Here is a 26,885-nt window from a genome sequence, read left to right as displayed (position 1 = left end):
GGCCAGATAGTAAATATTGTAGACTTTGCAGGACATATGTTCTCTGTTCCAACTACTTAGCTCTGCGGTTGTAGCACAAAAGCAGCCATAGACAATATGCAGACAAATGCATGTGACTGTGTTCCAATAAAACTTTATTTACAAAAACAGATGGTGAGCTGGATTTTTCCTGCTAGCCCTAGTTTGCTGACCCCTGCAATAGAATGAGAACAGCTCTTTTGAATTATTTTTTCTTAATTTGTTTTTCACTGGTATATCCTTAGAATAGTGCTCAGAAGGCTTAGAATAGTGCTTTGTAGATAGAAGGTCCTTGGTATGGATTTGCTGAACAAGAGACATGAATGGATGTCATCCATGAAACAAGAAGTTCCTGAAAGGTAGGGCCTTATGCACACGGTGATCAGATTGGAGAACGTGTTAGGTGAATGCCTGTTGAATAGATGGAGGAATGATTGGAAAGCCTCTTGCTTGCGCCCTTCCTCTTCTGCAGTGCCTCTGGTGGCTGAAGGCAGGAACTGGGAAGGTCCAAGCCAGCCTGATTATCCTGTCCTGGTTGCAGCTGCCTCCTCTCCTCGGCAGCTCCTCTGATGAGGAACCAGCATCAGAACTCCAGGCAGCCTTGCCCACACTGGCGCCTGCCCCCGACTCAGCCACAGCCTGCTGCAGTCTTGTAAGGCAGCAGCTCCTTTCTAGGGAACCTGACAGCGGAAATGGCCATTAAAGTTAAACATGACTAACTGTCAGAGGGAAGTAGTGACAACAGGAGCCCCAACCGCCACCATCAAGCCATCTGTCAACACTGGCCTGTTGGGTTTCTCAGGGTGCGCCTTCCTAAGTGAGGGTCAGCGGATTGGCTCAGACAGGCAGGGCTCTGGCATTTGGCGGGGCCTGTCAGCTGAAATGCAGAGGTGAGGCTGTTGTCACTTTGGAAATTGGGGCATGACAAGTGCAGGCAGATAAACACAAGAGGAGGAAGAGAGGGTGGGGGTGCTAGGCTGGGGGACAGGATGGTGTAGCTGGCCAGAGGGACCCTCGGCTGCTGGGGCCGCACGGAGAAAGGAAGTAGCTCTTCATCTGTTTCATGTCAACTTCGCTGTCATTGGATAGTCGGTAAGATTTCAAACAGATAAACGCCCCTTTGGGAAGCTGGAATGCCTTGGCAGACAATTTTAGGCCTTGATCTGATTGATAAATCCTTTGTGACAAGAGGGGATGAGAGAGGCCTCCGGTTTGGTACATATAAATAGGAAATTAGCTGGCAAAGTTGTCAAAGATAATTAACTTTCCGATTCTGCGGGTCTATTCAGGTTGACATCCTGAAATTATTTAGAAATGCACATGTCAACGCTCTGACAGAATTTGGGGCTGATCACATAAACAGATTTGGAGATGCTTGATTGTAAAATGATGTAAGCGCTTAGCTGGTGTTTTATCGCTGTGTGCTTCTGTGAGCTGTAGTGGAAGTTGCAGGGAGAAGGGTTTTGTTATGGGGGGATGGGAGGGTGGGGATAGGGAGATTGAAATGAATGTGCAAGACACAACACATTTGCTTTCTTCCTTCTTTTAATCATTTGAGAAATTCCGAACCCTGAATTTAACTGAAATTAACCTTGGATTCAAACCCGGGACTGTCCCTCAAGTCTCACCCTCCAGTACGAAGGGAAGCATTCTGAGGGACTCAGCAGCAGATGCCTTCTCTCTGTCCAGCCCAGTTTCATTAAGGCCAGTGCAGTGTGCAAAATTGGTGAGAGCCGCTGCTGTTCCTGATGCATCGTTTCTTTGGGTAAATCACCAGGCCTGGTGCTCTATTAAGAGGGGAGAAAGCCGCCTTGGGCATTTACATCTTGTTACTAGGAATTGTCTCTTTAAAAAGCCAGACTCTTCCATGAAGAAACATCCTTTCTCCAGGGTAGATTACAAGGGATGAAAACCCACATTGACTGAGTCGCAGAGGCCACTATGGACACTGCGTTGTGTGATTTGCTCATTTTAATCTCCATAATTTTCATATGAGGTATGTGTTTCTCATTTGGCTAATGAGAAAACAGATACTTAAAGAGTTTAAATGAGCTGGTGAAGGTAATCCAGCCATTTAAGGGGAGAAATTTAAGAGGCAAGTCCTTGCCTCCAAACTGCTCATAGTCTAGTAAGAGACTCGCCCATCACCTGAAGTTGATTTCAAAGGAACATCTTTGCTGTAGTTGTTAAAAATAAAGTTAACTAACATATTAAGAGCAGGATCAGCCTCAAACTCTTTCCTAAATAAGGCAGTTAGGGGCTTGTTATACTGCAAAGCTATGTCCTAAATGAGATCCCTTCTTCATATCAGTTTCTGGGGGTGTTTGCTGGCATCTTCCAGGACTAGCCACAGAGCATAAGGAAACTGAATACAAGGTTCAGAGGCACATTCCCTAGAGCTTAGGTTTAACTGTCTCCGCTTTCCCCCACTTCCCAACATCTTATTCTTTTTCACATGATCATAGACTCTTGGATAAAAGGGAGTTTGGAAGTCACCTAGTCTAGGGGTCAGCAACCCATGACCCATGGGCTGAATCCATTCCGTTACCTGTTTTTGAGTGGCCCACAGGGCAAGAATGTTTTCATATTTTTAAGTGGGAAAAAATCAAAAGAAAAACGTTTCATGACATGTGAAAACTAGCATTCAAATTTGAATTTTCATAAAGTTTTATTGGAACACAGCTTTGCTTGTTCGTTCATGTACTCTCTCGGGCTGCTTTTGTGCTACTGTTGAAGAGCTGTGTAGCTGTGACACACTCTATGGCCTTCAAAGCTGAAGACATTTACTCTTTTGTCCTTCAGAGGAAACCTTTGTTGACTCCTGGTTTAATTCTGTGTTTCAGTGAGAGCTTATTGAGCTTGGATTGTGACGAACATTGGGAAAAACTCTGTCAACCAGTATTATCTAATGTTTGCCATCAACGACTCAAAGTGGGTACTATTAGCTATCCTTTTAAACAGGTGAGGAAACTGCGATTCAGAGGGGTTCGGGAAGCTGGTTGGCTAACAGTTGAGCCAGGATTCATAACCCAGCCTGCCTGATTTCACACACAAGTCACATGCTCCAAATGCCCTCACTACGTTGCTATTTTACTATATTCCATGTTACCTGGATGTGGCTTTTCTGGTCTAGGTGCTCAGGACATAGTGGTGATTACCACTGTAATGGGAAGAAGAGCACCAACAAAGGTATCTATGCTTTAATCCCCAGAACCTGTGAATATGTACCTCAGTGCCAAAAGGGACTTTGTAGACATGACTAAGGGCTTCTTTTTTTAAAAAAAATTTTTTTAATTTATTTTTGGACAGTCTTGCTCTGTCACCCAGGCTGGAGTGCAGCAGCATGATTTTTGGCTCACTGCAAACTCTGCCTCCTAGGTTCAAGAGATTCTCCTGCCTCAGCCTCCAAGTAGCTGTGATTACAGGCACGTGCCACTACACCCGGTTAGTTTTTGTATTTTTAGTAGAGATGGGGTTTCGCCATGTTGGCCAGGCTGGCCTTGAACTCCTGACCTCAAGTGATCCACCTGCCTCGACCTCCCTACTTGCCAGGATTATAGGTATGAGCCACTGCGGCTGGCCTAAGGGTCTTGAAATGGGAAGATGATTCTAGGTTTTTCAGAGGGACCCAAGGATAGGGTCCTTCTAAGAGAGAGGAAAGAAGTTCAAAAGAGAAAGAGATGGAATGATGGAAGCAGATATTGGAGTGTTACGGGGCCACAAGCCAAGGAATGTTCTTGGTGTCTAGAAACTGGAAAAGACAAGGAAATTGATTTTTCTCCAGCCTCTAGAACTGCAAGAGACTAAATTAGTGTTGCTTTAAGCCACCAAGTTTGTGATAATATGTTCTACAGTAGCCATTGGAAATAAATACACCAGTCCTTGCCTTCAAACTTCTCATAGTGTAGTAAGTCTCATTTGCCACCTGAAGTAGATTTCAGAGGAATATCTTTGCTGTAAGTGTTAAAAATAAAGTTAAGGAACATATTAACACCAGGATCAGCTTCGAACCCCTAAATAAGGGGCTTAGGGGCTTGTAATACTGCAGAGCCATTCCAGTTTCTGGAGCTGGATGCTGGCATCTTCCAGGACCAGCCATAGACCATAAGGAAACGGAATACAAAGAGGCAAATTTCCTCCAAAGTTGTGCTCCAACTTTCAAAACTTGCACATATCTTGGGTTAAACTCAGGCTTCCTGGCACGTAGCATGCAGCTGACCTCGTGCTCCTTAGCGAGTTTGCTTTTCCTGGTTACTGAGGAGCTGGACTTTTACAAAAGGGAAATCACAGTCTTGCCTGCATTTTATTAGTATTGTGGCCATTTGCAAATTAATTTGGAAGGCAATATAATTTACCTCTTGTATAGAATTCAGTTTTGATTACTGCCTTGCCACTGAAGTGCCAGATTTCCCAAAAGCTCTTATTATAAGAAATTAAGATACCTTTCTCCCTCATCCAAATAAAATAAACATATGGCTGTGGGATACAATCGAATTAAAAAAGTATCATTTAATCCAGGGAACATAATTATTTGAATGAAACTGGAGAGGAGAAACTCAATCTAGGGTTTGAATGTTGACATGAGAATTTGAAGACTATTTTCACTCATCACTGAGTTTTAATAGCTCTTTGTAGAGAATAATTTGCAGCATAAACCATGTTCATATGATATTAGTTGTTTCAAAATCATGTTGAATCCCAAGCAAGAGCCATTCTTGGACCACTGTTGGGGGTTGGGGGAGTGTCAGTGTGTTTGAGCAGATGTCCTAGGAGTAGTATTTAACCATATATTGCTGTGACTCTTTAATGGTAAACAGAATGGTTTTGTTTTCTTGGGTCCTATTTTATTTAAGATGTCACTTGAGAAGAGAGCAGAAAAGTTAGCTGCTGTGTGTACCATGTATGTACTCCTCTCTGTATCCTTTATGTGTGTTTGCAGCATGGTTCATGGACTCGAGAAAATGGCCCTAATTTTCAGTGCTGGAATGTTTGTTTTGAGTTTAGTTGGAACAGTTAAGATTGCTGTCACGTATCCCCTTGGAGCTTAGCACTTGGTGTACAACCTGTCTGCTTTCCAACTGCCAGCCTCTGCTCCTTTTTGAGTGCTTTCTCTGGCTGCCGGAGCCCACTCTGCCTGCATTTTGGAGTAAGATTGGAATGTTTAGAAATTAGTAGTCCTCAATCAAAAACTTAAGTGAGCTGGTGGATAGAAACAGACATATCTCTCCTGGAGTGGGAGTGGGGAGTGTGTGTAACCACAAGTCCTTTCTTCTCCTAGCATCTTCTAGCAAGAGCTCCAGTTTTCCCATGGTGGTTACTCATTGGCATATTCACCTTTTCCCAGTTTCCTTTTCTTCCCCATCTCATTCTTCTACTTCTTGTTGGCTTTTCCTAAACTATCTCCCAAGTAAACCACTTGCACCCACATCCTTGTTTTGTTGTCCTTTTGGAGAAAAAATCGAAACAATCACTATACAAGTTTGTTTGCTTGCTTATCCATTAAATACTTGTTGGGAGCCTGTTCTGAGCCAGTGGCAGAGAAGTAGGTAAGATCCCTCTTGGTAGGAGCATACATCCTAGTGAGCAGGCAGATGTTAAACTAGCAAACAGACATGCAAAGGACAGGTTTGGGTTGAACCTATGTGCCCTGCTGGAAATAAACAGGGTGACGGGGAAGAGGGTGGGAGAATATTTATATTGAGCAGCCATGGAGTGTCCCCCTGTGAGCTGGTGACCTTTTAGCTCAGGCTAGAAAATGAGAAGGAGCCAGACATAAAAAATCCAGGGGAACATTGAAATGTTTAAAAGAAAAAAAAATTGCATTTAGAGTGTTGAGCACAAGGGGGATGAAGGGGATTTGATATGGGAATTGAGGTAGGAAAGGGAGGCAGGATCCGAATTATCCGGTACCTTATGAGCTGTGTTAAAACTTTTTATTTTGGGGCTGGGCATGGTGGCTCACACCTGTAATCCCAGCACTTTGGGAGGCCGAGGTGGGTGGATCACGAGGTCAGGAGTTAGAGACCATACTCCACACTGGCCAGTATGGTGAAACCCCGTCTCTACTAAAAATGCAAAAAATTAGCCGGCATGGTGGCGTCTGCCTGTAGTCCCAGCTACTTTGGAGGCTGAGGCAGGAGAATTGCTTACACCCAGCAGGCGGAGTTTGCAGTGAGCTGAGATCACACTACTGCACTCCAGCCTGGGCGACAGAATGAGACTCCTTCTCCAGAAAAAAAAAAACAAAAAAACTTTAAGAGGAAACAACAACTCATGTTAAAATCCTTCTGGAGAAACCAGACCATTTGCAAGTGAATCTAACCATCTGAAATGATTGGATGTTATATCGATAGTTATTAGACTAATTATCTGTAGCTATTAGGTTAAATAATCATCATTGCTGATAATGTCTTGATTCAGGGCTGAAATAATAATACATATAGATATAACAGAGAAGGACGTAATACTGCTGTGAACTTTCTTAAGGCTACCTATTTGGCAAAATTCTTTCTGCCTCGTAACATCGCACTTTAATATTTTCGGCAGCTTGCAAAGCCAGAATAGTTTCTCATCCCTGCTTCACAAAATGAGAAAGTGGAAGTTCAAGGAGTTTGGGTTACTTACTGTCTTCATCTGTTTGTGTTGCTGTAAAGGAATTCCTAAGGCGGGGTAACTTAGGAAGAAAAAGGGTTTATTTGGCTCACAATTCTGATGTCTGGAAAAGTTCAAGTGAAGATTGGTATCTTCATTTGGTAAGGGCCTCAGGCTGCTTCCGCTCGTGGTGGAGGGCAAAGGGGAGCTGCTGTGTGCAGAGGTCATATGGTGAGAGGGGGAGGCCAGTGGCAGAGCCTGGAGGTGCCAGGCTATTTTTAACAACCAGCTCTCATGGGAACCAGTAGAGGGAAAACCCACTTATTCCCATAAGGATAACACCAAGCCATTTATGAGAGATCCATACCCATAACCCAAACACCTCCTCCACCTCCAATTCCAATGCTGGAGGTGGAGTAGGCCTCACTTCTAGCACTGGGGATTGTATTAATCTGTTCTCACCCTGCTAATAAAGACATACTGGAGACTGGGTAATTTACAAAGGAAAGAGGTTTAATGAACTCACAGTTCCACATGGCTGGGGAGGCCTCACAGTCATGACATCTTACATGGCAGCAGGCAAGAAGCTTGTGCAGGGGAACTGCCCTTTATAAAGCAATCAGATCTCATGAGACTTATTCACTATCGCAAGAATAGCATGGGAAAAACCCGCCCCCATGATTCAATTATCTCCCACTGTGTCCCTCCCATGACACATGGGATTATGGGAGCTGCAATTCAAGATGAGATTTGGGCGGAGACACAGCCAAACCATATCAGGGATCAAATTTCAATGTGAGATTTAGAGGGAACCCACATACAAACCATGGCACTTATCTAAAGCTAAGAGGGTTAGAAGAAGTTAAGTTGGGATTTGAACCTAGATCTATCTCCTGAATGAGTGATCTTCCAGTGATTAAACCTCATTCTCATTGCCATCTTTGCTTTGTTCAAAACACTGTTTAAAAGATTTAATAAGCAGTGAGTTACAATAAGAATATTCATCTGAGATCTTGATTTAGTAAAGTAAATGAGAATCATGTTATTAATTGCTATTTAACTCGCAGGTTTTCTGTTCAATAAAAATATTAACACATTTTGATTCTACTTTGTTAAGCTTAGAGTCAGGCTTTTTCTCTACTTCTATCTTTTATGCTTGATGATTACATATTTTTATGCTATGATGATTGACTGGACTTGGCATGTTCCTAGGCGAAGACCAAAAAAAGCTGGAGAAATGCTTATCTCAGTTATGGCTGCCCAACATGAGAAATGAAAAGCTTTCCTTAGCTGACTTGTACCTGTAGGATTTGTTTAATTAGAAAAAGCTTTGCCATCAAATGCAGATGGTTAAAGTGGTTTCATCTCTTAACAACACTTCTCATTTGCCAATAGAGGGAGGGAAATCGCGTGAATATAAACAGGAATATTTTTGTTACTAATACCCCCTACTATTGATAAACAGTTTAGTCCTTTTTTTTTAAGCTTGTTTAAACAAATGGCCGTATACTCCCAAAGAAAGCCTTTGGCTGGGGTGCTGAGGTGCTGTGTGGAGTAGTAGGGATGGTGGTGGGGCCCATTAGCGTCTGGGATACTTAATGGATGGATTAATATTAGTGATTCTGTTTGGATTCAGTTTAAATTTAATATTAATGTTAATTTCATTAGCTGAGTTAGATCAACTCAGCTGATTTTAGTATTTTGATTGGCATGGTCAATTAACTCATTCATTTAAAAAATAATTATTGAGTGCTGAATATGTGCCAAGCACAGAGGATGTAGCTGTGAACACATTGTAGAAGATCCCTTTTCCGATGAAGTTTCAAGCCAGAGGGAATTTCAAAGAAATCCCCAAACATCAGGTGTTACGATGATGCTGAAACAGAGCGAAGTGATAGAGACCGGGGCATAGGGTGGGGCAAGTCTTCAGAGAGGTAGGGGGCGCGGGTTGCAGCTGAAATCTGAGTGTTGAGGCTGACACCATGTAAAGATGTGGGAGAAGGGCTTTTCAGAAAAGGAGAAGAGCAGATACAAAAGTCCCGGTAGGAATAAACTTCATGTATTTAAAAAAATAAAAATATAGTCACATGACTGAAGTCAAGGAACCAAGTGGGAGAGAGGCTGAAAGAGATGTGGGTGAGGTAGGGAGGGTGAGCATTTTACACTAACTTGTGTTGGGAGACCATGGGAAAATTTCCTTAGACACATTATAGTATCTGATATTCATTTTTAAGATCGTTACGATTCTTTACGGGAGCAAGACCAGAAACAGCTACACCAGTCAAGGAGCTATGGCAGCTGTCAAGGGGAAGATCCCTGGGGGCTGGCATCAGGCAGTGGGGACTACGGAGGGGAAAGTGGATGGATTTGTGAGAAGCTTTGCAGATATCAACAGGACTTGCTGCTGAGTCAGATGACAGGAGGGAAAGAGAAGGAACAAGGGCGTCTTCGGCAGATGGGTCAGAACAACAGTGTGGGTGGTGATAGCATTTCCAGGGAGGAAGATCACTGAGGGAGGAGCTGGTTTAAACAATAAATCAAGAGTTTTATTTTGGCCTTTGGTTTTAGAATCACAATTGGAAAAGTCATGAAGGGAGCTCTGTATATCATTCTAGACTAGTTGTTATTTTATTCTAGATGTTTAAAGGTCAAAATTTAAAACTCAGCCTTGTTAAAATGACTCTATAGCCTGACAAGATTCAAACCCTCCCATGTGTAATGTTTATTCTTTGAGTCTTCATCAAAGGAAGAAAAAAATCCATGTTTTTTTCTTACATATAAAATGAATTTTTAAATAATTCTTTAACCTTGAAATATGTGGTATGTGTATTGGGTGGAGGGGGCAGTGTATGTGTGAAAGAAAGGGAAAAATCTTACATTCTTGTAGTTTTTCCAGGTATTTTGCATTCATGTTAGCTTTGTAAGACTCACAGCAAATCTATATATTTGGTACTTGTATCATTATGATTAAGTTTGACTTCATATTAAAAATATACTCTCCCATAGTGGTTTAAACACTAAGGTTTTATTCTTGCAAATAAAAAAAGTCAGAGACAGACAATTTAAAGTTGATAAGACAGCTTCCTAAAATCCTTAGGGATGTTCATAGGCTCTGTCTATTTTGCTGCTCTGCAATTTTTAGCATGCTACCTCATGGTGCAATATGGCTGCTCAAGCTCTAGCCATTATGTATGCATCCCAGGCCATGAGAAAGTAGAAGTGAAAGGGCATACTACTTCTTCTTAGAGGCCATTTTTCAAAGTTAATTATCACATTTCAGCTTAAAGCTCATTGTTACATGGCTACACCTAGCTACAAGGAAGGCCAGGAAAATGGTCGTTAGCAAAGTGACATTTACTATGCCAGAAAGAGAAGGGATATTAGCAAGCATCTAGTAGCCTTGCCACAGTCCTAGCATTGCTGCTTTACTTGTCCAAGACCACATAACTTGAAACAGAAGGGTGAGGCTGAGACTTAACTTTTACTATTCTCTTACTTTCTGTCTTTCCTACTCTCAGCTCTTCTATTATCTTCAAAGTTGAGAAAATGGCTAGTTTTTCTTAAACATCCTTTCAGAGCTATTTATTTTCCCATTTTGAGTGCTGGGATCATTCTCCGAGTTCTGCAAAGTGCTCTGGGCAGCAGAAGAAGGAGAGAGGGAGCTTTGTGCCACTGATTTCAACCTTGCAATGCAATCTCTCCCAGTTTCCATAAATCAGCAGGTTTACAGGAGACGGTGAGAAGAGTGCCCTCTGATTTTTACACCTGATTCTCTCTAAAATCTGCCCAGGGGCTTCTGGAGGTGCTTATTTTCCCAAAAGGCAGAGGCTGCAGAAACCCACTACTATGTCAGGGTAGAAGAATTTACCTATTTTGGAAGTAACTGGTGATTCTGAGAAACAGCATTATAACTTTTAGTATCCATTTATAATATGACTCAGTGAATGTCTTTGCACGTGTCCTGAGACCCTCGCAGAGAAACTCTGATGGCTTTTGAGCTGCCAGCGAAAGCTTCGTTTTAGAGGTGAACACTTAGCATCTGGATCCCAGCTGTTTCATCGGAATGGATGTGTGGCTTTGTGAGGTCCCACGGTGGTGACTTTTCTCGCTCTGCAGGCGTCGTCTGCCTCCCTTCACTGGGATGGTCATTTCCGCTTGATCACATGGCTCAGCATCAGTGCCTGTGCTATATGGGGTCATATGTCAACGTAAAGGCAGAATATGGCTGACCTCGTAACAGAGGCACTAATTAGCCTGATGTTGGGGAAGCTACTTGCTGTGGCCTGAATATTCCTCCCCATCACCAAATTCATATGTTGAAATTTTAACTGTCAGGGTGATGGTCTTAGGGGGTGGGGCCTTTTGAGAGGTGATAAGGGCATAAGGCCAGAGCCCTCATAAATGGCATTGATGCCCTTATTAAAAAGGCCCAAGGGGGTTTGCTCATTGCTTCCACTATGTCAGACACAGTGAGAAGATGGCTGCCTATGAACCAGAAAATACGGGCTTACCAGACACCAAATCTGTCAGTGCCTTTATCTTAGAGTTAGTAGCCTCCATAACTGTGAGAAATAAATATCTGTTGTTCACAAGCCACCCGGTCTACAGTATTTTGTTACAGCAGTCTGAACAGACTAAGGCATCACTTCAAGTCTCAGGGTCTCAGGTTTCCTCACCTCTAAGAGGTCAGCTAAGCCCATTTGGGGCTCCCTGTGTTCCTGAACTGGGTAAGAGGGGATCGTAAGGGGTGTGCTGGAGTATCTCAAGTGTGTGATCTCGTGGCTGAGCTTTCAGTATGTTGACAAAAAAGCCAAACTCTGTCAGATATTTTAAAGAGGCTTATTCTGAGCCAAAATGAGTGATCGTGGCCTGGGGTACGGTCGCAGGAATTCCTGAGAAAGCATGTCCAAGGAGGTTGGGTTACACTTTGCTTTTATACATTTTAGGGACACAGAAGTTATAGGCAAAGGCATAAATCAACACATGTAACTGCTCTGGCCTGGAAAAGTCGAACATTTTTTAGGAGAGGAGGAGGCTTTCAGGTTATAGGTAGATTCAAAAATTTTGTGAATTGGCAGTTGGTTGAAAGAGTTAAAGTTTATCTAATGACTTCAAGTAAATGCTTGAGTTAAGATAAGCGGGATAGCGGAAGCTGAGGTTCTGATTGTATACATGAAACCTCCAGGTAGCATGCCTTAGAAAGAATATGGGAAATGTCTTTTTTTAGAACTTAAAGGCATCAGACTCTCATTTAATCTCTCCTAGGTCCAGAAAAGGCCTAGCTGCACTAATGGAGATTCTCTGCAGATAAAATTTCCCCCACAAAAGACGGCTTTGCAGGGCCATTTCAAAATATGTCAAATACGTATATTTTGGGGTGAAACATTTTGATTTCCTTCAGAATCTGCTTTCTGTCATGTGAGGTCCTATCAGAGTCAAGGTGGAATTTGCTAAGTTGTTGCCAAAGAGTCTGTGTTTTCAGTCTTGTGATCTCTATTTTAATGTTAATGCTGGTCAGTTGTCCCTAAAAGGGAGCGAATATAACCAGGTTTCTCTGACCTCCCTTCCCATCATGGTCCAGAATTCAATTTCTCAGGTTTCCCTTGGTTCAGAGGGGGCCTGTTCAGTCAGTGGGGGAGGCTTAGGGTTTTATTTTTGGTTTACAAGTAGAAGTCCATTAAGGGAGACAGCTTTGATCAAACACCTTCTTATGTACGTTGCACCAGGCAGGCACTTTGCCTGCAAGTTCTCTGCTATCTGTTCAGCAGCCTGATGACATAGATGCTGTCATACATGTTTTACTGCTGAGGAAATTGAGGCTGAGAGAGACAAAGACTTGGCTTATATTCTGTATCTCATGAGAAGTGGTGGATTCTGGATTGGAAGTCAGAGCTATGGCACTGATATGTGGGTCTTCTCTTAGTAAAGTGAATTTGTGACACATCTATTCAAGGTAAATGAAGTTTGAGAACTTAGCAGCACTTGGCACATACAGGTTGAGCCATAGGAAATGGCTAAATGGCTAATACGTGATTGTATTTGTGCTACAGAAGGGTTGATTCCATATGGCTCAACCCAGTAGATAAAATAATAACTTGCCAGCTCATTTTACTTCTCTTGTAGCTGGGCAAATACAGTTACTACAGGACTCCTTTGTGCTATGATTCTAGAATATTAAATTCTAGCTCAAATGGGCATAGTGTCGTCATTTTAAGCAAGTAGACATTACAAATAGGCTTAGTCATTATTCCTTGATAAATATCTATCATCTGTTCTTTCTGCATCCACCCATGAACTACTATCTTACCAGAATAGGAATAGTACTGATTAAGTGATGGGCCTTTTGTGTAACGTACACAGTTACATTAAAAAATAACAAACAAAACCTTTATTGCTACAATTACAAGCATAAAAAAGATAAACCCAAAGGAGTTTATTGCAGCAAGAGTCTCAGTAGGGATGTGATCTGTCAACCAGTACAAAAAAATGTGATGAGACTATCCCGGGATTACGTTCATGATGATAAGGAGGAGTTGAGTATTGATTTATATTCTTTTTGTTGCTTCATACTTCTACAGGCTTTCTAATTTTCCCATGTGTTATATTACTTTATACAAAAAGAAAAGTATAATCCTCAAAAATGAAACAAAACTCTTCAAAATTTAAGTATAATAGCACAAAAAATATCCACGTGCAAAGGAAGTCTTCTGTTTTTAAAGAGGAAAGAGTTTGACTTGCTGAGAGAGAAGGTGAGTGGATCTACAAAAAGAATGAAGATAGTTGGAAAAAGAAGGACAAGGAAAGACGTGGAACACAGTGGTCATGAGGTGGAAGGCCAAAAAAAAAAAAAAAAAAGGAAAACAGCAGTTATAGGGTGTAGATCTCTCCCTGTGCTGTCACGTCCTCCCTGAGCCTCCATGCTAACTTAGGGTCCCTTGGTACATGCTCACACATGATCACCCTATAAACTCAGCCTGTTTAACCAGGACTTCTTGGTTTTAGCATTGAATATTTCACTTCCTGGGAAACCAACTAGGAAGGTTAGTCACCTAACTCATCGTAACCTCTCCTTTTCTTTCCCTATACTGAGCACAAAGGTATCACAGTGTTATAATTGTAACAATTTAGCACAATTGTCACAAGATGCACAATTTGCTGTCATATCAGTTTTCTTATATCTCTCCTCCCCTGTTAGGCTGTAAATTCCACTAGGGCTGGAAACTATACCAGTGACTAGCAATGGGTAGTGGATAGTGGCTACTCAGGTATTTATTGAATGAAGGAATTCACTGGATAGGACTGGGCAGCCTACGCTGAGCATGTGCAAAGATAGAGATGGAGGAGAGAGCCTGTTGTACACTACAGTTGAGAGCCATCCAGCATGGTCTGTGAAGGGTTGGAAGGCTAGGTGAACACGTCTGGAAGAATGACCTCCCCAATTAGCACTTGGGGGGTTACTAAACCCTTTGGCTGTTTGCTGAAAGCTACCAACCTACTCCCCAGAAATGCACACTGGAACATCATTTTGCTTATAGATTTAGAAAGTATAGAGCAGGCTGTTAGTCAAATCCAGCTAGCAGCATGCTTTTGGTGAATAACGTTTTATTGGAACACAGCCACAGCCATTGATTTGCACATTACCTATGGCTGCTTTCTCACCCAAGGGCAGAACTGAGTAGCTGTGACAGAGACTGCATGATGGCCTGCAAAACTGCAAATTTTTATTCTCTGGCCCTTTACAGAAAATGCTTGCTGGCCTCTGGCTAGAGAGCACTGAGGGCCTGGGAGTGCCTAGACTCAGGTTAAATCCCTGCTGGAGACATGAGAGAGCCAGTGAAGGATTTTAAGGATGAGAATAAAGTGGTCAGTTCCCTTTGGGAAAGACGTCTCTGTCTGCAGTGTGGTGATGTGAGACTGGCTGCGGGGAAACTTTGTGGCAGTTGTCCAGGGAGGGATGCCAGAGTTTGAAGGAGGGCAGGGGGATGAAGAGAGCACACAATTTCAAGTGCCTGCCTTTCCAGATCTGCTCTGCTTCTTAATCTGCTCAACTCTGCTCTGATAGGAATGCAAAGCAAAGAAGCCACCAGCGGCTACAGTCTTCACTTGACCACATGCTGCTGGGTTCCACACAGATACAGTCAAAATCAGCCCTTCGAAAGCTCACCATTGGCAATGTGCAGAGCTCTAATCGGGAATTCAATCATATACTTCTGCTCTGTGTAGTGCTGACTTTAAAAGATCTAAACCCTAAAACTGAAAAAGAAAAAAAAAATCTAAAACCCTGTGGGGCTCACAGAGCGAGTCAAAGAGCAAGAGTTTATTGTTGGCATTCAAAACAATCATCGCCTTTGAAATGTGAGGTCTTGACAATTCCACATCAGGACAAAATCAGGATGCAATGAGATCTAGCTCCTCAACCTCTTGGCCAATACCCTGGCTGTTGCCTATGGTGCTGAAAGGTAACAAGAAGTAGAGAAAACAATTTGTACCCTCAGATCTATTTCACCCAGGGAGTCCCCATCTTCTTGCTCACAATGGCCATCAGGGCACAGTGGCCACGTCTGGAGACAAAATATTGAATGTGGGTGCTCATTTCTACCCTTACCCATAATTTTGTTCCTCTGCTTAGAAGAGTTTATGCTACTATTTGTTGTATTAGTTCATTCTCACGCTGCTAATAAAGATATAACAGACTGAGTAATTTATAAAGGAAAGAGGTTTAATTGACTCAGTTCCAAATGTCTGGGGAGGCCTCACAATTATGGTGGAAGAGCAAGGGACTTCCATGATGGCAGGTGAGAGACAGCTTGTGCAGGGGAATTCCCCTTTTTAAAGCCATCACATCTCCTGAGACTTACTATCATGAGAACAGCATGGAAAAGACCTGCCCCACCATGATTCAGTCACCTCCCACGGGGTCCCTCTCATGACACGTGGGAACTGTGGGAGCTACAATTCAAGATGAGATTTGGGTGGGGACACAACCAAACCATATCATTTGTCATGAACAGTGCCCTGAAGAAATGGTTTTGGCCAGTGCTCAGTAATTGCAGTGTCTAAGAACATTCTGGGGGATGATAACAGATAGAACTGTGAGGGGAAATTGTATTGAGTTGTGGTGGAGAGGAGGTGAGAGGCAGAATTGTGGGGTGAGCATGTGTGAGCAAACAGAATGGACAAGCAGGCTGGGCATGGTGGCTCACACCTGTCATCCCAGAACTTTGGGAGGCTGAGGCAGATGGATCACCTGAGGTCAGGAGTTCGAAACCAGCCTAGCCAACATGGTGAAAACCCATCTCTACTGAAAAAGATACAAAAATTAGCCAGGCATGGTGGCACACGCCTGTAGTGCCAGCAACTGGGGAAGCTGAGGCAGTAGAATCGCTTGAACCCAGGAGGTGGAGATTGCAGTGAGCCAAGATCACGCCAGTACTGCAGCCTGGGCAACAGAGCAGGACTCTGCCTTGAAAAAAAAAAAAAAAAAAAGGAATGGACAAGCTGATAGAAACCGGGGTGCGGATGGCTACTGTGGTGTGTGTTCACTGTCTTCCCAGTTCCACAACTCTCATTCTATGACAATCTTCAGCACAGATGCAGTCTCAGAATCCTTCTAAACACAGCCAATCTAGGCAGCCAACACCATCAGAGCTGGTTTATAAGATGAAACTGATTTGATATCCTCACGTTAGAGAATTCAGCTAGTCCAAGAGAATGGTCCTGAGCAGTTACAGTGCATCCTGCTAGGGAGGGCTAAGGAGTGAGGTTGTGGAGGAGGATTGGGTTTAGCAGATTTATTGGGACTGAAGGGAATGCACAAAAATGGCATGAGGGTGAGACTGTGGCTGCTCAAGGTGAGGGCGGGCTGGGAAGAATGCTGATTTGCAGAGTGGGCTAATTGGAAGTAAATGAAGTGGCATGCTAAGTTCAAGGGCACGTAGCCTGACCTCCCACTGTTGGGCAGGAAGGGACATTGTCGATGAAGCAGCAGTGCAGAAATTGGAACCCTCATACATTTGTGGTGAGAGTGTAAAATGGTGCAGCCACTGTGGAAAATAGGTGAGAATTTCTCAACAAGTTAAACATTGAATTACCAGGTGGCCCAGCAATTCCATGCCTAGGTTTGTACCAAGAAGGATGGAAAACAGGGACTGAAACAATAGAATGTACATACATGTTCATAGAGGCGCTATTCACATTAGTCAAAAGGAGAAAACAACCCAAATGCCCATCACTGGATGAGTGGGTAAACAAATTGTGAGCCAGGTGCGGTGGCTCATGCCTGTAATCCCAGCAGTTTGGGAGGCCAAGGCAGGTGGATGACTTGAGGTCAGAAGTTCGAGACCAGCCTGGTCAACATGGTGAAACCCCATCTCTACTAAAAATACAAAAATTAGCTGGGGATGGTGGCATGTGCCTGTAATCCCAGCTACTTGGGGGACTGAGGCAGGTGAATCACTTGAGCCTGGGAGATGGAGGTTGCAATGAGCCTAGATTGTGCCACTGGGTGACAAAGTGAGACTCTGTCTCAAAAGAAAACAAAAATAAAAACAAAACAAAAAAAAACTGTGGCCTATCCACACTAGAGGTTATAATTTAGCCATCAAAAAGAATGACATATTTATACATGCTCCAGTGTGGATGAACCTCAAAAACATGCTGAGTGAAAGAAGTCAGCCACAGGGACCACATATAATTCCACAGATCTGAAATAATCAGAATAGGTAAATCCATGGAGACAGAAGTCAGACTGTTGGGTGCCAGGAGCTGGAGGGAATGAAAACTGAGAAAAGAGTGCCTCATGGGTAAAGAATTTTGCTCTGGAATGATAACAATGTTTTGGAACTAGATGGAGGTGGTGGCTGCATAACTTTGTGAATGGACTAAGTGTCACTGAGTTGTTTTTACTTAAAATAGTTAATTTTATTTTATGTGACTCTCATCTCAAAAAATTATCCCAAAGAAGCAGCAGGAGGATGAGAAAGAGGAGAAGGAAGAGGAGGGCCTGGTCCTTGAAGGTCTGCAATTCTTGTGGAACTCCAAGTGCGCAGGTTTGTCCAGACAGCCACATGGAACTATCTCCTGTACATAGGTGATTATTTTAATTCTTCCCTTTTTTTTTCTGTGTTTCCTGCCACCACATGCATTGACTCACCCCCTGAATCTCTTGAATGCACCACTTCCTTTATTGTCTATTACCACTTTTCTATAGGACCTTCATATCCCTAGACTTGGAAGTTGCCTTTCTCCTGGCACACAGTGCTCTGCAATTTCAACCCATCCTCCACCGTAGTGCCAGAGAAATCGCCATAAAGTACTTCTTGCAAGTGCCGTGCTGCCTTGCTTCAAGTCATTCCTGGCCCCTGCTGGAGCCAGGTGGAGAGTTCTAGCTCCAGAGCCTGGTGTGTGAAACTGAAGAGGACCCTGGCCTTGTGGTTGGATACTCCAGCATATCTGGACACTGGCGTACCATCCTAGCCAAATCCTGAGTGTGTTTATTAACACAGACTTGGTTTTGTTTTTTCTTTGTTTGGTTTGTCCTCTGTTTGGTTTTTCCTCTTGCTGCTTGCTGGTAATGACAGTCTGTCCTGGGGGCTTAGTGGGAATCAAATGAGAATACACATGGCTGACAGCTATTGAGCATTTGTCCTGGCAGACCCTGGACAAAAGCATCATTTGAATTTTCTTAGGTAAGAGAAGGTGGCATTAAAACTAAGGCTCTATCTATATTTGATACAACATCATCATCAATTTTCAAAATCCTCTTCAATGTGGCTCAATGCTTTAACTCACTGATTCTGTTTTGTATGTGATAGATCAATTTCACCACCCCAGAACGTGCCCTGTGCATGATGGCCTCCACACCATTGCCTAGGCTGTCCCCTCTGCCTGGCATTCCCTTGCTTTTCCTAGAGTCAGGCTACTTGTAGGATCTCCAGATAATAGCACCTTCTTCTAGGGGAGGAGGACCCCTGCTTTTGGAGGACTGAGTTCATTTTCCCCACAATTTCTCATGCTCGAGCTGCATCTCTGATACCTAAGATGATGCTGGGGAGTCGAGAGAGGCAGAGACCCTCATGTCTTCCCTGACTCTTCCCTGACTGCTGAACTGCCAACAGAAATTCACAGCCACACACACAGCCATGGGTCCCGGAGTTGGCCCAAGAAACCGTACATCCTAGTTTGCTAAATTTTATTCATGCAAATATTTGCATTTCGATGTCCTAGAAAGCCCTTAATCCCTGGGCGCAATGCCAGGCTTGGGTGGGAATACCATCTCTGATGGAGGCCAGATGCCTGCCTGTCTTTATCGTGGCTGATCCAGGCTCTTGGTTCCCTGTCTTGGGGTGGCCCTGCTTCTTGCATGTGGTCAGGGACTTGGTTGCTGCTGAGCAATGTTTGCTTTTCCTTTGATAATTCTGGTCATTTCCTGGAGGTCTGATGAAGGATAAGGTCTCTACGGAGGCAGGAATCTAACAATTGATTCTTTTGTGATTACTTGACAAATAATGCAACTTTCTGAATATCCAAGCAAAATCAAAGTCTTTATCTCCCTCTTTCCCTCCTGCCCCGTTGTCTTATTCTAATTCCACACTTTACTGTGGCTGAAAGGGAGCATATAAGCCCAAACCTTAGCTTGGGTGCTGTGCGCAGCATTTGGCTTATTCATTCCTTGAATAAATGTTTATTCAGCACACACTCTGGGCCAGGGATTATGGTAGATATTTTGGGATATGAGGTGAAGCAGGTGAACATGGCCACTGCCTCTCCCCTCCCCCATCCCCCCACCAAAAGCCTGCCACACTGTAGCAATGACAAGTAAGAAGTTATCATCAGGCAGTGTTGTGAGTGCAGTGGTAGAAGTTGGAGTGTATTGCAGGGATGTGAAACAGAGTTGTCTCCCTGGTGAGGAGTGTTTTGGGAAGGCTTCCTGTAGGACATGAAGAATGAACCATGGGAGAGTATTGCAGACCACTGCAACAGCATGTGTGACAGCTCAGAGGCAAGAGGGAATGTGACACATTTAAGGAAGTAAAAAGAGGTCAGTGTGGCTGGGAGGATGGAGAGCTCTATTGGGTTAGAAGCAGTGAGAAGGGAGGAGAAAAGTACAAAATGAGGCTGGAAAGCAGCTGGGCCTGAGATCCAAAGTGTTTCCTTGAGCCCAGGGCACCTGGAGAGACTTCTCTCTATGCCCGATTATTGGTAGGGCTGGCACCACAGAGTCCTTCTGAATTCTAGCTCCCCTAACACTTACGAGCTAGTAGCTCATGTGAACTTCAGTGTCCTTATCTATAAAGAGACATACTTGGCCTGGCCACACAGGAAGATGGGAGGCTTGTTGGAGGTGGACTACGGGCTTACTGCTCCTGTGTAGTGGAGGCTCACCTTGGAGAGTGATGCTCCAGTTGCTCCCTAGACCTGGACCTCGGCACCCGCTGGGCCTCAGAGAGCAGTCACCAGGCCTGGAAGGCCAGTCATTGAGCAGTCAGGAGGAGCACCAAGTGCACTAAGGCACAGATAGAACACCTGTACTGTTTTTCCGACTTTCTCAGTGGTGTTTGCTGAATTGGGGCTTGGCACCAGGCACACATAGGTTGCATTCTTTATTCTGTTGTCTGTGCATTTTGTTCATCCATTCCTTTGTTATATCATGGCTTGTTTGCTATGTGCAAGATGGAATTCTAAGCACTGGGGAGATACACAGCCCTGGGGAGCCAGTCGAATATTGTCCTTGCCCTCAGAGACCTCAGCATCTAATCAGGAAGACAGAAATTAAAGAAATACACAAATAATGGTCACAGTTGTCAGAGGTATTAGAAAAGGCAAATAGAGTGCTAACTAGGATATTTTTACTATGCATGTTTAAGGTATAAGTCTTGGCTCTACTGATTTCCAGAAGGGAAAGTTCCTGGACCCTTCTGCACCTCAGTTTCTCCATCTGCAAAATATGAGGATTAGGGCTAAACTATGGGAGGAATGGTGGTTTTAAACTTGGCTGCATCAGAATCACCTGGGAAGGTCTTAAATATCCCAGCATGCGGGTTGTACTTACACCAATTCAATCAGAGTTTCTGGGGGTGGGGCCCAGACACAAGAATTATCTTAAATATTCCTGGGTGATTCCACTAGGCAGCCAAGTTTGCGCACCAGCCCTCGAGCCCAGTGCTTCTTGCACTTTAATGTGTCTGGGAATCACCTGGGTTTTTATTAAAATGCAGATTGTGACCCATGAGCTCTCTGCTAGGGCTGGAGCGTTTACAGTGCAATCAAGGCCATGGGCATTGGTTTTCAACTGGGGAGACTTCTGTCTTTCATGATGCTTGCAGATATTTTTAATTGTCACAACTGGTGGATGAGGGTGCTACTTGCCTCCAGTGGGTAGAAGTCACAGATGCTTCTAAACATCCTCTGATGCACGGGACAGCCCCCACCATAGAGGGCTTTCTGGCCCCAAATGTCAATAGTGCCAAGGTTGAGGAACCCCTTTCCAGGGCAAACCTGACGATGCTAGCCTGAGGGTGGAAGTGACACTGCTGGCCCACGAGTGACATTCTGAGTAGCAATGGAATCCCCATCTCTAGTTTAGCCCTAATTATTCTGGGCAAAATGATCCATGTGAAACAAAACTTGTCAGAAAATGAGCTGACAAAATTAGCAGAGATCGTTAAAAAATATTCCTTATTGGAGTTTTGGTGGAAGATAAAGAGAATTTTACCAGTCCCACATCATGGGCATTAAAGATGTGGCCATTTGAATGTTTGTAAGGATGGGGCATTCAGAAAGCCAAACGAGAACCTCCCCTTTTCCACTGGGTTTAAGCAGCAAAGACAGATGAACTAAAGAAGGCAAATGCATGAATTATTAACAAGCCCGGGTGGGAAAAGTGTAGTGCAAGGCTTTTTAACACTGTTGGAGATCAGGATAAGGAAAAATGGGCAGAGACTTAATTGTTTCATTGACTTTTGCTGAGGAAACACAGAGTCATCAAATATACACACAGAGGGCAGAGGAAGAATTCACGTGAAACACTTTCTCTCTCTCTTTTTTTAAAGATTAATTTGTAATTTATTGCTCTAATGACCTGCCTGGTGAAGAAATTGAGGTCTGGACATAGGATTCATAACACAATCACCCCTGAATAGCTCTCCTAAGCTTTCCTTCCACCCCACATCCCCTGCCTGACTTCAAACCCCGATAACTTCTCATCTAGATGAATGTAGTGAGCTCCCATTTGGTTTTCCTCTGTTTACTCCATCACGCTTCCCTTCAGGACATCCCTGGCCGGGCGTGGTGGCTCACGCCTGTAACCCAGCACTTTAGGAGGCCGAGGCGGGCAGATCACCTGAGGTCAGGAGTTCGAGACCAGCCTGGCCAACATGAAATACTAAAATATAGTATTTATTTTAGTAAAATAAAAAAAATACTAAAGATATAAAAAATTAGCCAGGTTTGGTGGTGCGTGCCTGAAATCCCAGCTACTTGTGAGGCTGAGGCATGAGAATCGCTTGAACCTGGGAGGCGGAGGTTGCCGTGAGCCAAAATTATACCACTGCATTCCAGCCTCGGTGACGGAGTGAGACTCTTGTCTCAAAAACAACAACAACAACAACAACAACAAAACAAAACAAACAAAAACAACAACAACAACAAAAAAGACATCCCCATAGTGTGGCCAAAAGGAGAGTTCTTGATATAACAACTGATCACCCCACTATGGGGAAAACCATCCATCAGTGCTCTCAGTGTAAAGGCCAAAACCCTTATCATGGCCTTTGGTTACATATCTCTCATTGCCTCCTCCATCTTATCTCTTACCTCTGTCTTCGCTGCCTTTCCTCCCCTCCACCATACTCAGACAGTTAATTTACACTCATCCAGCAGATGCCAGGCTGTTTCCCTCACCACCATACCTTTTCAGCTGCTTTTCAGTTTCCTCTCCCCTCCACCTGTGTTCTCAACATGTTCTCATCCAGTAAAACCTATCTTTAGCCTCATTTCTTCTGTGAAGCCTTCCTTGGTACCTTCTTCCTGCCTTCTGTCCAAAGAGTACAGATGCTTGCTTCTCCTCTGGGCTTCTAAGGTGACTTTCACTTGTGTCTGTTACAACAATGCTGTTAAACATGCCTTTCAGCGGGAGGGTGAGGATTGTCTCACTGTATCCCCAGCGCCAAGGACAGTGACCAGCAGATTGCAGGGGCTCAGGGGCTGTTTGATGAGTGAATATATGAGCCCCAGTGCGTTTTCCTATTCCTGAAGGGATTCCCCGTTTGGGGTATCACCTGCAATAGGCACAGAAACAAGATCCATTGATTTGGATCCTTGCCCTCAAGAGATTTAGAGTTGAAAAATGAAGATGGAAAAGTTAACAGATAAATTAACATAAGGGTTGATAGTTACTTTGATAATAATAGTGATGATCACTTCATTTATGGAGCATCTATGAAGTACCAGACAATGAACAAACCTTTTGCCTACATTTATTTAATTCCTCACTATGCCCTTCTGAGGGAAGTAGGATGATCTCTATTTTGTAGTGAAGGAATCTCAGGCTCACAGAGGTTAAATTATTTGCCCACAGTTACACAGTAAACACAGGACTAAGACCTGAACTCAGGTGTTGGCTTCCAAGCCTTAAGGCTTACCAGTAACATCCCAGAGAAGCACAGAATGAGCTGTGGGCACAGTCAGGGAGAGAGGAAGGAGGGGTTAGAGTGGCCTCCTGGAGGAGGTAGAACCTGAGTTATCTTTTGAGCTATGAGAAGGGATCAGACAGAGGTCGTGGGGTGAGGGGAAGTAGACTCCAGGTAGTTTCTCTTGTCTGCTAGGTCCCCTACTCCCTGGTCTCCATTCTATGAACTGGCCTTGGCTCCCAGGACTGTCTCAGAATGGCTCCTGAAGACTTGCTTTGTGTGTCTCCCAGAAGAATCTGGGGAAAAACGGCGACTCCCCAAAGATGTCCACGGCCTCATCTCTGAAACTTGTGAATATATTACCTTTCATGGCAAAGGAAACTTTTCATATGTGATAAAAATAAGGATCTTAGATGGGGGATTATCCAGATGGACGCTCTCTATAAAGGTCTTTGTAAGAGGAAGGCAGGAGGGTCAGGTAAATGAAGGAAAAGGAGATGTGATGATGGAACCATCAAAGACTTGGGATGACTCACTTTGAAGATAGAGGAATAGGGTCACGAGCCAAGGAATATAACTGTCCTCTAGAAGCTGGAGAAAGTAAGAAAACAAATTTTTTCCTGAAACTAGAAGAAATGCAGCTCTGTGGACACTGTAACTTTAGCCTTCCAAGACTCACTTCAGACTTCTGACTTCCAGAGCTGTAAAGAATAAATTTGTGTTGTTTGAAGCCATGAAGTTTGTGGTCATTTGTTATAGCAGCAAGAGGAAACTGACACACCCTAAAAGACTGCCTTCCAGTCCATGGGGAAGGAAAGGACAGGCATGCTGATAAAAATAGGCACTTCCTGGGCTGCGTCTCAGAGAAAACCCCAGCAGGGCCTTGCTGCCACTTCCTGGCTGCCTCCCGTAGAAGAACAACATTCCAACCCCGCATCTGGGGCCTGGAATGATGGTAATGAAATTGCATCTCTGCCCTAAGTGGAATTCTTACTCTGCATCCATCAGATGATAATGAGATAGAACGACAAGTGTTGTCATGAACTGGGGTTTAAGGGATACTGTTAAATGATAGCAGCAAAACAAAGATCAGCATACCTGGCATAATCCATCTTTTTGTTATATATATCCATTTACATATATAATCAATATATATACAATATAATGAATAGCTAATATACTATATAATTAATATCTAATTTATAATATCTGTTTTGTTATATATATAAAACAAAAAATGGAATATATATATATATATATATATATATATATATATATATATATTTCATCCCATGTCCATCTGTCTATCTACCTCATACACACTGAAAATAATTTGGGGAAAGCTGTATCGCAATCCAAAATCTTGACTGTGATTATAGAGAATTTTACTATCAACATCATATATGTCTGCACTGCTTTCATCTTTACAGGAAGTGTACTCTTTTTGAAATACAAATATAGATAAATTGAACAACTGAGATCTGAGTAGGCTCTCCTCATAAGCCCTTACAAGCAGAGGTAAGATCCTTGTCTCTACTGGGGTCAGCAAAGCTTCTTAGGTCCCCACAGTCCCTAGATTGACGGTCCTCTAAGTGCGGTCCATGGGCCTCAGGGAGTCCCCAAGTCTCTTTCAGGGAGTCTTTGAGGTCAGAACTACTTTCTTAATAATAGTAAGATCTTATTTGCCTAGTTGACAGTTGCCCCAATGGTGAGAAGGCAGTGGTGAATAAAATGGTGGTGAATAAAAATTCCTTAGAAGGAATCAAAGTGACAGTGTCCAATCGTACAAGTCGTCATTGCGTTCTTCACTGCTGGGTGCTTACGATAAAAAAACAAATGAATGAAGCCAGCTTATCTTAAGATTGCTCTTGATAGATTAGTAAAAATGATTAATTTCATTAAATCTCAACTCCTGAGTTCATATCTTTTAATATTTTGTGTGATAAGTCGGAAATATGTAGAAAGTACTTCTGTTACATAGCAAAGCACAGTGGTTGGCTCAGAGAAAACCACTTGTGTGATTGCTTGAGTTGTGAGCTGAACTAGTCTCTTTTTTTTCATGGAATGCCATTTTTGCTTGGAGGAGCAATGCATCAATTATGATTATGGTGGACATTTTCTTGAAAATGAGTAAAGTGAGCCTGTCATTTTAAGGAAAACAATTGACAGTATCTGTTGCCAATGGTACCAGTCAAGGTTTCAAGTGAAAAACTTGTATCTGCAACTGTGAGCTTGATGGCTTCCGAATATTTGAATACTTTTGGGATGAGATTGGTGGTATTTACAAATGTGTTTTTAAAAATAATGTAAAAATGAAATGTAAAAATACTGGAGAAAAATATCTTTGTAACTCAGGGAATCCATGTGATCTAAATGACCAATGCATCATGTATAGTCAGACAGTCAATATGCAAAATGGAGCAATGAATTTTTATTAAATGGAATACAAAAATTTTCACTGATATGATTTCAGATTCTACATTGCAACTAATCTTTCAAAGAATACCCCTTGTTGAGTTTTGGTGTAGTATCAAAAAGCTACCCGCAAATATCTAAAAAGGCTATTAAAATAAGTTTATTTTTTCTACAGGGATATCTATGTGAGATTGAATTTTCTTTATATATTTCAACCCAGATAATAAGTTACAAAAGATTAAATGCAGGATCGGATGTGAGAATCTAGCTGTTTTCTATTAACTCAGACATTAGAAGGATTTGCAAAAAAAATGTTAGACAATGCCAGTCATCTTGCTAAATTGTTTTTTGTTTTGGAAACTTTGGTTATTTTTTAATAAATTTACATTATTTATGCTAACATGTAATGGATTTATGGTTGTTATTTTAAGTGCATTGATAAATAAGCATTTAAAATTGTATTGGTTTTTGTATTGGTTTGAATTTCTAAAATATAAATGTTGACATAACCTACAAAAGCAGAAACTGTCTGGGGGCCTAGATGGGTTGTAAGTGTGTAATGGGTCCTAGAACGAAAAGTTTAAGAACTATCATGCTAAATTTTTTGCCACTGTTACCTTTTTTTTTTTTTCCACTGTTATTTTAAAGTCGCCTGTGCTTACAGCGATATGCTACTCTTGGCTTTTCCTATAAATGCGCATCATCCCAGAGAATGTTGTATTTCAGAGAATGATCGTATTAAAATATTAGCTAACGTTTTGCAGGGCTAAGGAATTTGGGATTTTGGAAGCTTAATGACTTGCGGCATGGAAAGCCATGCTGTGAAAAATGATACCAGCTCGTGGGAATTGAATGTCCACTGAGACTTGCCCTTGGATGTTGTCAGTCTTTCACCTGAACTCATAGAATCTGGAACTGTCAACTTTTCGTTATGCAGGAGCCAGGCTGGGACACATGTGGGTTGCATGCATGGGCCTTCCACCATCCATGAAGGGTAGATCAGATTTATGGACCATCTCTTCAGACAGAGCTGCATTTTCTTTCTTCTTTCCCAGTGATGGGCCATTGGTCACCATAAAGAAGAACATCAGCTCCTACAAACTCCTGCCCCCGCAGAGCTGCAGGCATTATCAGGCTTCATCTAGCCTCTTCATGGGGTAAGTTGTTACAGCCTGGACCAGATGGACTCCCCCAGGAGGTTTGGCTAAAACAACTTTCTCCCCTGAGTATCTG

The 26,885-nt window shown here is 42.9% G+C and overlaps 1 long non-coding RNA gene across 1 annotated transcript in view, besides 1 other annotated feature; it reads left to right on the top strand.

Annotated features, from left to right (window-relative positions):
• DYNLRB2-AS1 (DYNLRB2 antisense RNA 1) overlaps positions 1-26,885 on the top strand; it is a 407,178-nt gene that overhangs the window by 244,666 nt on the left and 135,627 nt on the right. The window lies entirely within an intron of this gene.
• Positions 314-814: an enhancer, noted in NCBI's record as "H3K4me1 hESC enhancer chr16:80351553-80352053 (GRCh37/hg19 assembly coordinates)". NCBI's record gives its function as "activates a minimal SCP1, AML or CMV promoter by ChIP-STARR-seq in primed H9 embryonic stem cells {active_cell/tissue: H9 hESC(primed)}" and the evidence as "EXISTENCE:reporter gene assay evidence [ECO:0000049][PMID:30033119]".

Source organism: Homo sapiens, chromosome 16, assembly GCF_000001405.40.
Source record: "Homo sapiens chromosome 16, GRCh38.p14 Primary Assembly".
Lineage (NCBI taxonomy): Eukaryota > Metazoa > Chordata > Mammalia > Primates > Hominidae > Homo > Homo sapiens.
The sequence above is the reverse complement of the archived record's forward strand: the minus strand, read 5'-3'. Positions and strand labels throughout refer to the sequence as shown.